The sequence below is a fragment of the Homo sapiens genome, chromosome 7 (assembly GCF_000001405.40).
Source record: "Homo sapiens chromosome 7, GRCh38.p14 Primary Assembly".
Classification (NCBI taxonomy): Eukaryota; Metazoa; Chordata; class Mammalia; order Primates; family Hominidae; genus Homo; species Homo sapiens.
This window is the reverse complement of record NC_000007.14, coordinates 64431957-64445399: the sequence shown is the minus strand read 5'-3', so window position 1 is coordinate 64445399 and position 13443 is coordinate 64431957. Positions and strand designations below refer to the sequence as shown.

At 35.2% G+C, this 13443-nt stretch overlaps 2 pseudogenes across 1 annotated transcript; one reads left to right on the top strand and one right to left on the bottom strand.

Annotated features, from left to right (window-relative positions):
• On the top strand, window positions 724–1640 carry VN1R40P (vomeronasal 1 receptor 40 pseudogene; annotated as a pseudogene).
• On the bottom strand, window positions 9880–11707 carry YWHAEP1 (tyrosine 3-monooxygenase/tryptophan 5-monooxygenase activation protein epsilon pseudogene 1; annotated as a pseudogene). Its single transcript, NR_029404.1, has one exon. The product of NR_029404.1 is annotated as a tyrosine 3-monooxygenase/tryptophan 5-monooxygenase activation protein epsilon pseudogene 1 (transcript).
• Window positions 11708–13443: the final 1736 nt, after the last annotated feature.

The window sequence follows — 13443 nt, the reverse complement described above, 5'->3', positions numbered from 1 at the left end:
GTAAATTAGGGTTTGATTAAGCAGAACAATGTCCCCCAGTCCCTCTAAGGATATTGACATTTGAATTCCAAGATATCACATTACACATTATAATTCATGACAAAGAGAATATAAGGGTGCAGATAGGATAAAAATTGCTAATATGCTGATGAAATATCATGAATTATCATGGTGAGTCCAGTAAAATCACAAGGGTCAAAAACCATGGAAGACTGATGATGAATGAATTTCATCAAAATGATAGACCATGAGAAAGTCTTAACTGAATATATATTTTTAATTGTTTTAGTGAGTCTTTTCTCATTAACATACATTTAATTCAATTCCACTGTACAAATGCTATTCATTTTATATGCCCGATTGAAGTAGTAAATATAAAATAAGAGAACATAAAACAAGGATATGATTACTGAGATGAAGGCCAAGGTACGTGAGGAATATAGATAGTGTGCACCTTATACAGGCATAATTGAAAATGTATTTGTTATATATATTCATAATTATATATGTATACATTTATTTGGTTTAGAAAATAGTGCAGGAGATACATTATCAAGAATTTATATAAGATGGGGTTAATCAAGAAAATGAGAGTAAAATAAAAATAATCATAATGGTAATAATTTTGAACACTGACAAAAGAACATTGATGACACAGATGTATTTTTTTCAGGTCTTCAAAATATGTTTCTTCTACATCATTAGGATGAACACACATTTCATATGTTATCTTTGAAAAAGGCCTTTTATTTTCAAGCTGGCATTGGAATCTCGGCCAACATATTTCTTCTTCTCTGGCACATTTTTATATTCTTTAAGGATCACAAGCCTAAAAACCATGACCTGATCATCTGTCACTTGACCTTTGTTCACATACTGATGCTAGTCATTGCAGCAAAGCTATTGTCTCCAGATGGGTTTGAGTCACAGAATTTTCAGAATAACTTCAGATGTAAGGCTGTGTTCTACACATACAAGGCAATGAGGGGCCTCTTGATCTGCACAACCTCTCTCCTGAGCATGCTTCAGGCCATCACCATTAGCCCCAGCACCTCCTGGTTGGTGAGATTTAAACATAAAATCACAAAATACAATATCCTGGCTTTATTATTCTTTGGTCCCTCAATTTTTCTTTCAACAGTGACATGATTATCTACATTGTAGGTTTTTCCAGTGTGACCCAGATAATTCTGAATGTCAGTAAATACTGCTCACTTTCCCCAATGAATGTCACCATCAGAAGGCTGTTTGTTACTCTGTCGTTATCCAGAGATGTCTTCCTTGTAGGAATCATGCCGCTCTCAAGTGCCTACATGGTGATTCTCTTGTCCAGGCATCAGAGGCGCTCCCAGCACCTTCACAGCACTAGCTTTTTATTAAGAACCTCCCCAGAGAAAAGGGCCACCAAGACCATCTTGCTGCTGGTGAGTTTCTTTGTGGTTATGTACTCATTGGACTTAATTGTCTCATCCTCCACAATGTTGTTATGGGTATTCAGCCCTGTCATCTACAGTGTCCACAAGTTTATGGTCAATGCCTATGCCACTGTCAGTCCTATGGTGCTAATCAGATCTGATAAAAGAATCATCAGTATTCTGCCAAAGGTTCATTGGACGTGCCATCCCTTTTTAACAAGTTAGTGATAAAATTTTCTAAAAATAATTTTGCTGTCATTAATTAAATTATTTAAAAACACAGAATTTGCTATCTGATTTAAATAAAACATCTGGAATTGCAGTTTTGTAATATCTAATTTTTTTTTGAGATGGAGTCTCACTCTGTTGCCCAGGCTTGAATGCAGTGGTGCAATCTTGGCTCATCGCAGCCTCTGCCTCCTGGGTTCAAGCAATTCTCCTGCCTCAACTTCTCGAGTAGCTGGGATTACAGGCATCTGTCACCTTGCTCAGCTAATTTTTTTTTTCGTATTTTTAGTAAAGACAGGGTTTTGCCATGTTTGCCAGGCTGGTCTTGAACTACTGACCTCAAGTGATCGGCCTACCTCGGCCTCTCAAAGTGCTAGAATTACAGGTGTGAGCCACTGCACCCGGCCCGTCTCAATATTTTTTTAATTTCCTGGTGCTAAGAACTATATGTTGTTCTCAGTTCAGTGTCCCCCATGGTTTAATATTCCTAAAGCATGTCTCTCACTACTTAATTTTAATTTTACCTTTATACAGGAAAACATTTTCTCTCTTTTTTTTTAAGATGGAGTTTTGCTCTTGTCTCCCAGGCTGGAGTGCAGTGGCACGATCTCGGCTCACTGCAGCCTCTGCTCCCAGGTTCAAGCGATTCTTCTGCCTCAGTCTCCTGAGTAGCTGATACTACAGGTGCCCACCACCACGCCTGGATAATTTTTGTATTTTTAGTAGACAGGGTTTCACCATGTTGGCCAGGCTGGTCTCGAACTTCTGACCTCAGGTGATCTGCCCACCTCGGCCTCCCAAAGTGCTGGGATTACAGATGTGAGCCATTGTGCCCGGCCAGGAAAACATTATTTTCCTGAGTGTATGCTTATGTGGCTCCTATTAGCAAGCATATCACTCAGTGTTACTACTTTTGAAAAAAATGTATATATTTTTGAGATGGAATTTTGCTCTTGGATTTTGGCTCACTGCAACCTCCGCTCCCGGGTTCAAGGGATTTTCCTGCCTCAGCCTCCCCAGTAGCTGGGATTACAGGCACGTGCCACCACACCGGGCTGATTTCATATTTTATTAGAGATGGGGTTTCTCCATGTTGGTCAGGCTGGTCTCGAACTTCTGACCTCAGGTGATCTGCCCTCCTCGGCCTCCCAAAGTGCTGAGATTACAGGAGTGAGCCACCGCACCCAGCTGAATAATAATTTTTCTAAGCATGCTTTTAAAGTTTATTTTTAATTGAAGATAACATTGTACAAGTTTATTATGCATAACAAAAGATTTCAAAGTACATATAGATTGTAAAATAATTAAATTTAGCTAATTAATGCATTATCTAAGTTATTATTTTGTGGTGAGAACACTTAACATCCACTATCTGTGCACTTTTCAAGACTGTACAATCTCATAAGTAACTATAGCCACCTTGCTATGTAAAAAATATCATTAAATTTATTTCTCTGATATAATTGTAATTATATTCCTTTTGGCCAGCATCTTTTTATCCTCTTCTCCCCTCTAATCACCTCAGCATTTAGTAACTATTTTATATTTTATAACCATTTTAGTCTCTAGTTTTATTAGATCAACTTTTTTAGATTCCACATTGTAGCAAAATCTTGTTGTATTTGTCTTACTGCGCCTGGCTTATTTCACTTAACATAATGTTTTCCAGGTTCATCTATGTTGTTATTTTATTTTATTTTATTTTATTTTAATGAGACGAAGTCTTGCTGTGTCTCCTATGCTGGAGTGCAATGGAGCACAGTAGAGACGTCGTTTCACCACGTTAGCCAGGATGGTTTCGAACTCCTGACCTCAGGTTATCTGCCAGCCTCAGCCTCCCAACGTGTTGAGATTACAGGTGTGCTCAGCCCATCTATGTTGTTTTCAATGGCAGGATTTCATTCTTTATATGAATAAATAGCCTTTCATTTGGGTTTCTATGCCATGATTTCTTTATCTATTTGTCCCTTGATGGATAATATGATTATTCTCTATCTTGGCTATTGTCATTAGTGCTGTGATAAGCATGAGAGTGAAGACATCTCTTTAACGTACTGATTTTATTTCCTTTGGATATATGCCCAATAGTGAGATTGCTGGTTCATATAGTAGTTTTATTTTTAGTTCGAGGAACCTCTACTTTTTTACATAATGGCTGTACTCATCTGCATTTAAACGAACAGTGCATAAGGGTTTCCTTTTCTCCACATATGGCCAACACTTGTTATCTTTTGTCTTCTTGATAATGACCATGCTAATTTAAGTAAGGTAATAACTATATTACTTTTACATTTCCCTGATGACTAGTGATTTTGAGCATTTTTTCATATACCTGTCAACTATCTATTGTGTATCTATCTGTCTATCATCTATCTATCTATCTATCTATCTATCTATCTATCTATCTATCTATCTATCTATCATCTTGTTTTGAGAAATACCTATTCAGGTTTTTGCTCATTTTAAAATTGGATGATGATTATTATTATTTCTGCCATTGAGTTATTTGAGCCCCTTATATATTTTGGATGTTAACCCCTTGTCAGATGCACAGTATGCACATTTTCTCCCAGTCTGTAGTTTGTCATTTTGTTTTTGTTTTTGTTTTTGAGACAGAGTCTTGCTCTTGTTGCCCAGGCTGGAGTGCAAGTGGTGCGATCTCAGCTTGCTGCAACCTCTGCCTCCTGGGCTCAAGCGATTCTCCTGCCTCAGCCTCCCCAGTAGCTGGGACTACAGGCTTGTGCCACCACGCCCAGCTAATTTTCTTGTATTGTTGGTAGAGAGGGGCTTCACCATGTTGGCCAGGCTGGTTGCAAACTCCTGACCTCAAGTGGTCCACTACCTCGGCCTCCCAAAGTGCTGGGATTACAGGCATGAGCCACCATACCTGGCCTGTAGTTTGTCTTTTCACTCTGTTGATTATTTTCTGTGCCATGTAGAAGCTTTTACTTTAACATTTTATTAACTTTTTTTTCTGTTTTCTGGCTTTATACAAAGGTGAGACATTTTGCTCTCACTGATTTTATGAGCTTTTTCTTCATGTTGGTGTTACGAAGTTTGACCTTTTTCAAATTAAGGTTTATTTAATTTAAAATTGACATATAATTGTACACATTTATGGGATACAGTGTGATATTTCAGTGCATTTATTCATTGTCTAATAGAACCAGAATAATTAACATAGCCATTGTTTTCAATATTTGTCATTTCTCTGTGCTGATAATATGCAAAATTCTGTCTTCTAGCTAACTTAACCTATATAATAACATATTATTATTAATTATAGTCACCCTACTTTGTGTAACATAACACAAAAATTTATTCTTTCTGTTATTTTTAAATTTATTTTATTTTATTTTTTTTTTTGCGACAGAGTCTCGCTCTGTTACCCAGGCTGGAGTGTAGTTGCACAATCTCTGCTCACTATAACCTCCACCTCCAGGGTTCAAGCAATTCTTGTGCCTCAGCCTCCCATGTAGCCGGGATTACAGGCACTCGCCACCATGACCAGCTAATTTTTGTATTTTTTGTAGAGACAGGGATTCACCATGTTGGCCAGGCCGGTCTCGAACTCCTGGCCTCAGGTGATCCATCTGCCTCTGTCTCCCAAAGTGCTAGGATTACAGGTGTGAGCCACCATGCCCGGCCTATTCTTTCTTTTAAATGATAATGTTGCAGTCATTGGCAAACCTGTTCTCATCTCTTCCTCCCCACATCCTTTCCAGCCTCTGGCCATTTTACTCTACTTCCATGAGATCAGCTTTAAATTTTACATAAAAATGATATCATGTGGGGTTTGTCTTTTTATGCTTGGCATATTTTAATTAACATAATGTCCTCCAGGTAAATCGATGTTGCTCTAAATGACAGATTATTATTCTGTTTTAGGAAAAACAGTATGTAGATTCTTCCAAAAATTAAAAATAGAACTACCCTATGATTCAGCAATTTCAATACTGGGTATATATCAAAAGGAAATAAAATCAGTATGTCAAAGAGGCAACATTATTACCATGTTTATTGCATCACTAATTGTAATAGCCAAACTATTACTTTACTTAAGAATTTTTAAATCTCTTCTTGATACTACATTACACTTCTAAACTTTTAAAGGATTTAAAGGTTTTCAGTTTTAGAAACTATTTAATCACCAATTCTTTAAATATTTCTTTTTTTATATAGTCTAGTAAAGCAATTAGATGTTCATTTCTTCTCAATCCAATCTTCATATATGTATATATTTCATTCTCTATTAATTCGCCTTCTGTAAAATATGTAACTACATCAATTTTGGTTAGTATTCTATTTTATTGGCCTCTCATCAGCTCAGTGTATTTTCATATGTAACCCATATGTTGTACATTACATTGTTTCACCACATTTGTAATAGCTTACTTTCAATTTGCTTTTTTTTCAGATATGACTTGAGAAGCTTCTAGTTTTTTTTCTTTGCCCATTACTTTGGTTTTCTGTTTTTTCATTGTATTGAAAAATATTTAAACATAAGCCAAATATCTGATGTTTATGTACCATACAATTTCTTTTGACTCTTCATCTTGGTAGTTTATCTAATTGTGTGCAACATAATGTATAACTTAGTTTTCACATATGGAAGATATCATACTTGGAATGTCTCCAGTCTGTATGTTTCTTTGCTGATTCCATTTGCCTTGTTGGAAGTTGAACCCACATGAATCTGATGTTCTTGTGATTAGTCCTGTCTGAATAGAGCACGTGCTTCTTAGGTTGACTACTCCACTGGATTATTCCCTTCATTTACTCCTGGTCCTGGGAATTTCTCATATTTTTCTTCAACTATATTTAGCATAATGTGGATTGTTTTAACTTCTTGACAATTTTAATTATCTGTATTAAATATTTAGAATATATACATTATTTTCCTGAAAAGCATAAATAGCAACAGTTGCATACATTAGTAAAATATGTCTCATAGATTGTCTATGACATAAAACGTCATCTTGTGTGAAATCTCAAGTTTCTTCATGTAGAAGACCTCCTTACTAATACACCATATTGTAATAATTTGTGAAGTGTGATTACTTTTTACTACTATGTATGTATTACATATGTATTATGCACAAATTTCAGAAACACTCCAATGAATATACAGCCAGAATTACTGTTTTATATCATATAAAGCTAATATGGGTTAAATCATTTACCTTAATTCAGATTTTTTCTACAATTACCATTATTTCTCATTAGCACTTCCCTGATATCAAAAACATAATGCGGATTTAGATTTTTTATTTAATCCAGAAGATGTTGAAAATGGTTCTAAATGGAGTTTACATGTGGCTAGATAATACTTGTTAATTACCTTTAACTTTTTAAATACATTAATTGAGGTATAATTGACAAACTAAAGGTGTATATATTTAGGATTTAGAATATGATGTTTTGAGACATGTATACATTTTTTAATTACCTCGGTTAAGCTAGTTAACATATTTATCACTTTACATAGTTACTTTATGTGTCTGTGTGTGAGTGGGTATGTGTGGTGAGATTACTTGAGATTTGATTTTCAAAAATTTTAAGTATACAGTATTATTAACTATTGTCACCAGTCTATATGTTACATTCCCATCATTTATGTATTTTCTAGCTGAAAGTATGTATCTTTTGACTGATGCCTTGTCATTTCCTCCCACACCCTAGCCCGTAGTAATTATTATTCTTCTTTTCCTATGACTCTGAGTTATTAAAGATTTCACATAAATACGAAATCACGCGGTACTTGTCTTTTTGTATCTGGCTTATTTTACTTAGCATAATGTCTTCATGGTTCTTCAACGTTGTTGAAAATGGCAGAATTTTCATCTTCATTAAAGATAAATTACATATACATATATTTATCACAGTTTTGTTATATATTCATCTACATATGCTAAGTAGTAACCTCTCTAATTTATCAAATTATCTTTTCCATATTATCATTCAAATATGATATTGTTTTGCATTTATTATTAAAATTAATTTCCTGTCTTTAAAAAATTTTCATAAAATTTATGGGGTCAATTCAATCTGCCCTCTTGATAAAAGCCAAAGTTACATGTCAGTTTTACTAATTTGGATTAGATTGAGATTTTTATTGCCTCAAATAATAAGTATAAGCATTAAGGATAAAAATATAATTACATTCTTCACCTTACAACAAAGAAAACTTTGGATTATTTATTGGACAAAAGACTTATTCTATATTATTATTTCTATTTTTGTGTTACCTAAACATTTACTACACATAGAATACCACAAAACAGGAATAAATAAATCGGTTGTCACAAATGATGAAAGTAAAATTAAGAAATAAGATATACTTCCCAGAGAATGTTTGTAACAAAAATAAATGAAATATGTTTTAGGTGATGCATATTCTAATTCCCCTGATTTGATTATTACATATTATATGCTTGTATCAAACTATCACATGTACTACATAAAGATGTACAACTATTATGTGTCTGTAACAATTAAAAATAAGAAAGTATATATGAATATATATGTATATATAAATAATCATGTAACGAGTAAAGTATTAATTAAAAATATTTCCACAAAGAAAAGTTTAGGGCCTGATATCTTATATGTCAAATTCAATGAATATTTAGTAAATACTATCAATTGTTTAAAAAAACTTTCAAAAACTGAAAAGAAATTTATACTTTCTAACCCACAACACTAGAGTTATTGTACAATAAAATAAAGTATATAATAAAAATTTAAAAAATTCTCCAGATTGAAAAATAACAAAGGTCTTTTTTTGCAGATGATATAATTTTCTATATAAAAATATATAAGGAGTTCAATAAAATATCCCTAGAACTATAAACAAGTTAATTAATGTCACTAAATGAAAGATCAGAAAACAAAATTAAATTGCACTTATAGACAAAATAAATCAACAATGAAAATGAAATAAAGAAAAAATATATTTATAATAGCAATAAGCAGAAATATTAAAGTTTTAAAAGGAAGTACAAACATATTACACTCTATTTCTTAATTCAGAAAAATCATAGAACTGAATAAATTAACATATGTTAGATAATCAAGTTTTAAATTATCATTTTTAAGATTAGAATATCTCACAGATTGATCTACAGATTCAATAAAATCTCTCCAAATTTTTAACTATTTCTAATGGAAATTGACAAGTTCTTCCCAAAAACAAATATAGATAAGCTGGGCTTGGTGGCTCATGCCTGTAAACCCAGTGCTTTGGGAGGCTGAGGTTGGAGGACTGCTTGAGGTTGGAGGACTACTTGAGGCCTGGAGTTGAAAAACAGCCTGGGCAACATAGGAAGGTACTGTGTCCAGAAAGATAAAAAAATAAAATTAGCTGGATATGGCAGCGCATGCCTGTAGTCCCACCTACTTGGGAGGCTGAGGTGGTGGAATTGCTTGAGCACAGGAGTTTGAGGTAACAGTGAGCTTTGATTGATCCACCTCACTCCAGCCTGAGTGGCAGAGTGAGACTCTCTCTCTAAAAAAAGATTTAAAAAACAATATAAATGTGCACAGAATACCAAATACACAAAACAGTCCTTAAAAAGAAAAATAAAACAATTTATACTTTTTGATGTAAATTCTTATTATCAAGGATAGAGTCATGTAATTAATAGATTTGAAGATCCAGCCGGGTGCGGTGGCTTATGTCTGTAATCCCAGCACTTTGGGAGGGTGAGGTGGGTGGATCACTTGAGGTCAGGAGTTCAAGACCAACCTGGCCAACATGGTGAAATTCCATCTCACCTACAAATACAAAAAAATTAGCTGGGCATGGTGGTGCATATCTGTAATCTCAGCTACTTGGGAGGCTGAGGCAGGAGAATCGCTTGAACCTGGGAGGTGGAAGTTGCAGTGAGCCTAGATCCTGCCACTGCACTCCAGCCTGGGCAACAGAGCAAATGTCTCAAAAAAAAAAAAAAAAAAAGGAAGATCCATTTAAAAACACATTCATTTATGGCAAATTAACATTCACAAAAGTTCCAAAAAATTTCAATGTGGAAGAAACAGCTTTTCCAAGAATTTTTCTAAGAAAATTGGCTATAAACGTTTAAAATAAGAAGTCAGACCCCATCTCAAATCAAATACATACTGAAATACTTAATATGAGCTGTAAAGCTAAATGTAAGAGCTAAAATGACAAACTCCTTACAAGAAACGCAGAAGTAAATTTTTATAATCTTTTATTCAATAACGATTTATTTATTTTTTACATTTAGGTTTGTTTTATTTAAGTTTAATGTTAATTCCATACTGTGTTTCAGTAAGAACAATACAGATTCTATATCTGTGGCTCCAGTCAGATATCCAGTAGAACAAATTAGCTTCAAGTTACACATACTGAACAAAAGTGATTGAGCTAGAAGAGGGGAGGAGTGAGGGGAAGCAGGTAGGGGGATGGAGAAGGAGTGGAAACAAATAATTGAACACGCATGCAGGCCCTTTTCCACACCACCTGCAACGCTAACCCGCTTCAGTGGGAGAGTAAAAGTAGGCAAGAATGAGCAGCCACGATTGTTGAACTGTTACCAGCACCATGCTTTTCAGCAACATTTCAGTAGAGTTTGAAAAACTTTTTACAGCAAAACCATTTCAAAACTCTCTCCCCAAACAAACCTTAACCATCTCAAGCTAACACCGAGTTACTTTCAAACATTGGTATAAAATACGGTTTAAACAATTAGAAAAACTGAAAAATGATACCACTTTTGCCTCTATAGTGTGATTAATATCTCCCTTAGACGCTTGCATCACCTAGAAGCGTCACCTAATGGCTTTCAAAGGTAATTTCCATTTCTAATGGTAATCTTGCCACATCTGGCACGGAGACAATACAGTAATGCTGAGAAAGCCTGTATGCGGTCCTGTTAGTGTCTTAAAGAACCTAAAAGCTGGGACCAGTAAAATCCACAGAAATTCACTCTTGCCTTTAAGAACTTTTGAAAACTGTTTAAAAAACAAACAAACAAACAAACAAACAAACAAACAAAAAACAGGGCAGGAACCTAAATTCTGACGCCAAATGTAAAAGTCAGATTTGGTGGTTCTCAGTGACAATGGGGAGTTGCCAAGGGGTGGGATAGGGAAGAGCAGGGTGGTCGGAGATGGTTTTTCTTGTTGGCTTTTATGTCTCACTGATTTTCATCTTCCACCTCCTGCAGCGCTTCTTTATTCTGTTCTTCACCATCACCCTGCATGCCTGAAGTCCATAGTGTCCTTATAGCTTTCTTCACTCAGCGTATCCAGTTCTGCAATTGTATCATCAAAAGCTGCTTTTGCCAACCTGCAGGCATGGTCAGGGGAATTAAGAATTTCGTAGTAGAATACAGAAAAATTTGAGAGCAAGACCTAAGCGAGTAGGATGCATTGGTGGAAGTTCTGTCATTGCAATATCACTAGCAGCTTTATAAGCCACTAGGCTGTTCTCCACAGCCTCCTTCCTGTCATTTCCTGTGGCAAATTCTGCCAGATACCTGTGGTAGTCCCCTTTCATTTTATAATAGAAAACTTTGGACTCGCCAGTGTTAGCTGCTGGAATGAGGTTTTTGTCCAGTACATCCAGAATGTCACAACAGAGTAACTTTAGCTCAGTCTCAATCATTTGCTGATATTCCCAAATCATTTTTAGCTTGTCTTCTCCTTCCTTGTTTTCTTCTTTCTGTTCAATACTGCTGATTATTCTCCAGGAGGCTCTTCTAGCTCCAATTACATTCTTATATGCAACAGATGGGAAGTTTATTTCTTCAACTGTCAGTTCCACATCCATCCCTGCTACTTTCTTCATTGACTACACCATTTCTTGGAAGATACTGCCAGTTCAGTTCCAGAGCACATTGTATTGCTCAGCCTGCTCGGCCAGCTTTACCTGGTACCAGATCCTCTCGATCATCCACAGCGGCAGCCGCTCCCACAGGGTCTGCGCGACCGATGGAAGTGGATAGTGTCTCTGCCTCTCGCTCCGCTTCTGGGCAGCAAAAATGGCGACACCACAATCCGGGACTTTCCCCTGCCCACGCGGAAAACTGCTCAGCTCTGTGGCAACCGCTTCCTGGCAACTAATGATTTCTTAAATAACACAACAAAAAAGCATAATCAAGAAGAAACTGATAAACTTCATCAAATTGAAAAACATTTTTTTCCAAACACCAAGAAGAATATATAATCTAAGCTGCATAATGAGAGACAATATTTCCAATTACATATCTTCTCGGGCTCTAGTATCCGGAATACAAACAAAACCAAAACAAACTCTTGTATGTCAATAATAAAAGGACAAATTACCAATTAAAAATGGTCAAGGGACTTGAATATATGTTTTACCAAAGAAGATATACAAATTGCTAATATGAACATAAAAATATGCTCAATATATTTTGCTATTAGGAAAATAAAAATCAAATCACAATGAGATAATAATGAACACACTATATTGGCTATAACAAAGAGACAATAACAAGTGTCGGCAAATGTGGAAAGTATGGAATTTCTATGCATTGCAGCTGGAAAGGTAAAATAATGTAGTCATTTTATAAAACAATTTGGCAATTCTTCAAAATTTTAAACACAGAATTGCCACATGGCTCAGAAATTTTTCTCCACATATGTATGCAAAGGAAATGAAAACCTAAGTCACACAAAGACTTGTATGTGAATGTTCATAGCAGCAATGTTTATAAGAGCCAAAGGGGAATACCATCCAAATATCCATCAGCTAGTGAAAAAATATGTGTCATATTTATGCAATAAAATCCTCAGCAGTCAAAGGGAATTAAGCAATAATCCATGCTACATTGGAAATAAACCTCAAAAATAGTAAACTAAGTGAAACAAACTAGGTTTCAAAAAGATTACATAATTTATAATTCCACATATAAGAAGAGTCCATAAAAAGCTCATTGATAGACAGAAAATAAACTAATGGATGTCTAAGGCCTGGGTGATGGTGGAGAGTGAATGAAAACAAGACAGATTTTACTCTGAGATGATGAACATATTTTAAAGTTAGTTGTGATTATCAATATGTAACTCTGTTATAATATTAAAAACAGGCTGGGCGCGATGGCTCATGTCTGTAATCCCAGAACTTTGGGAGGCCGAGACAGGCGGATCATTTGAGGCCAGGAGTTCGAGACCAGCCTGACCAACGTGGTGAAACCCCATCTCTACTAAAAGTACAAACAAATTAGCCGGGCGTAGTGACGCATGCCTGTAGTCCCAGCTACTCAGGAGGCTGAGGCAGGAGAATCGCTTGAACCGGGAGGCAGAAGTTACAGTGAGCCGAGATCCCGCCACTGCACTCCAGACTGTGCGACAGAGCAAGACTCCGTCTCAAAAAAAAATCAAAAATAAAAAAAATTGATATTTACAATGAAAATGTCATTGTATTATGTAAATTATATCCCATTAAAGCCTATCAAAAATTAACATGCCAAAAGTATTAAAATAGCTTCTGACTTTAAGAAATCCAAGTAACAGACTTTTAACACCAAAGTTATTTCTGTTGATTTAATAAGTATTAAAGAAGAAGAAGATACTTTAAATATCACAAGAGGACACAAGTGCGACCAAAAACATTATAGAGGTTACGTAAGCAAAAAGAAAACAGTTTGTAAGGAGTATTTACGGATAGGAACCATCTGGTTTTACTAGACTAGAAAACTGAAGTCATTTACAGAAGACTACTGTAACTCAATTGTTACAAATAAGTAATGATGTCATCATAGAATGAGGAAAAATTAAAAATTAATTAATTAAAAATATTTGGAGAAGC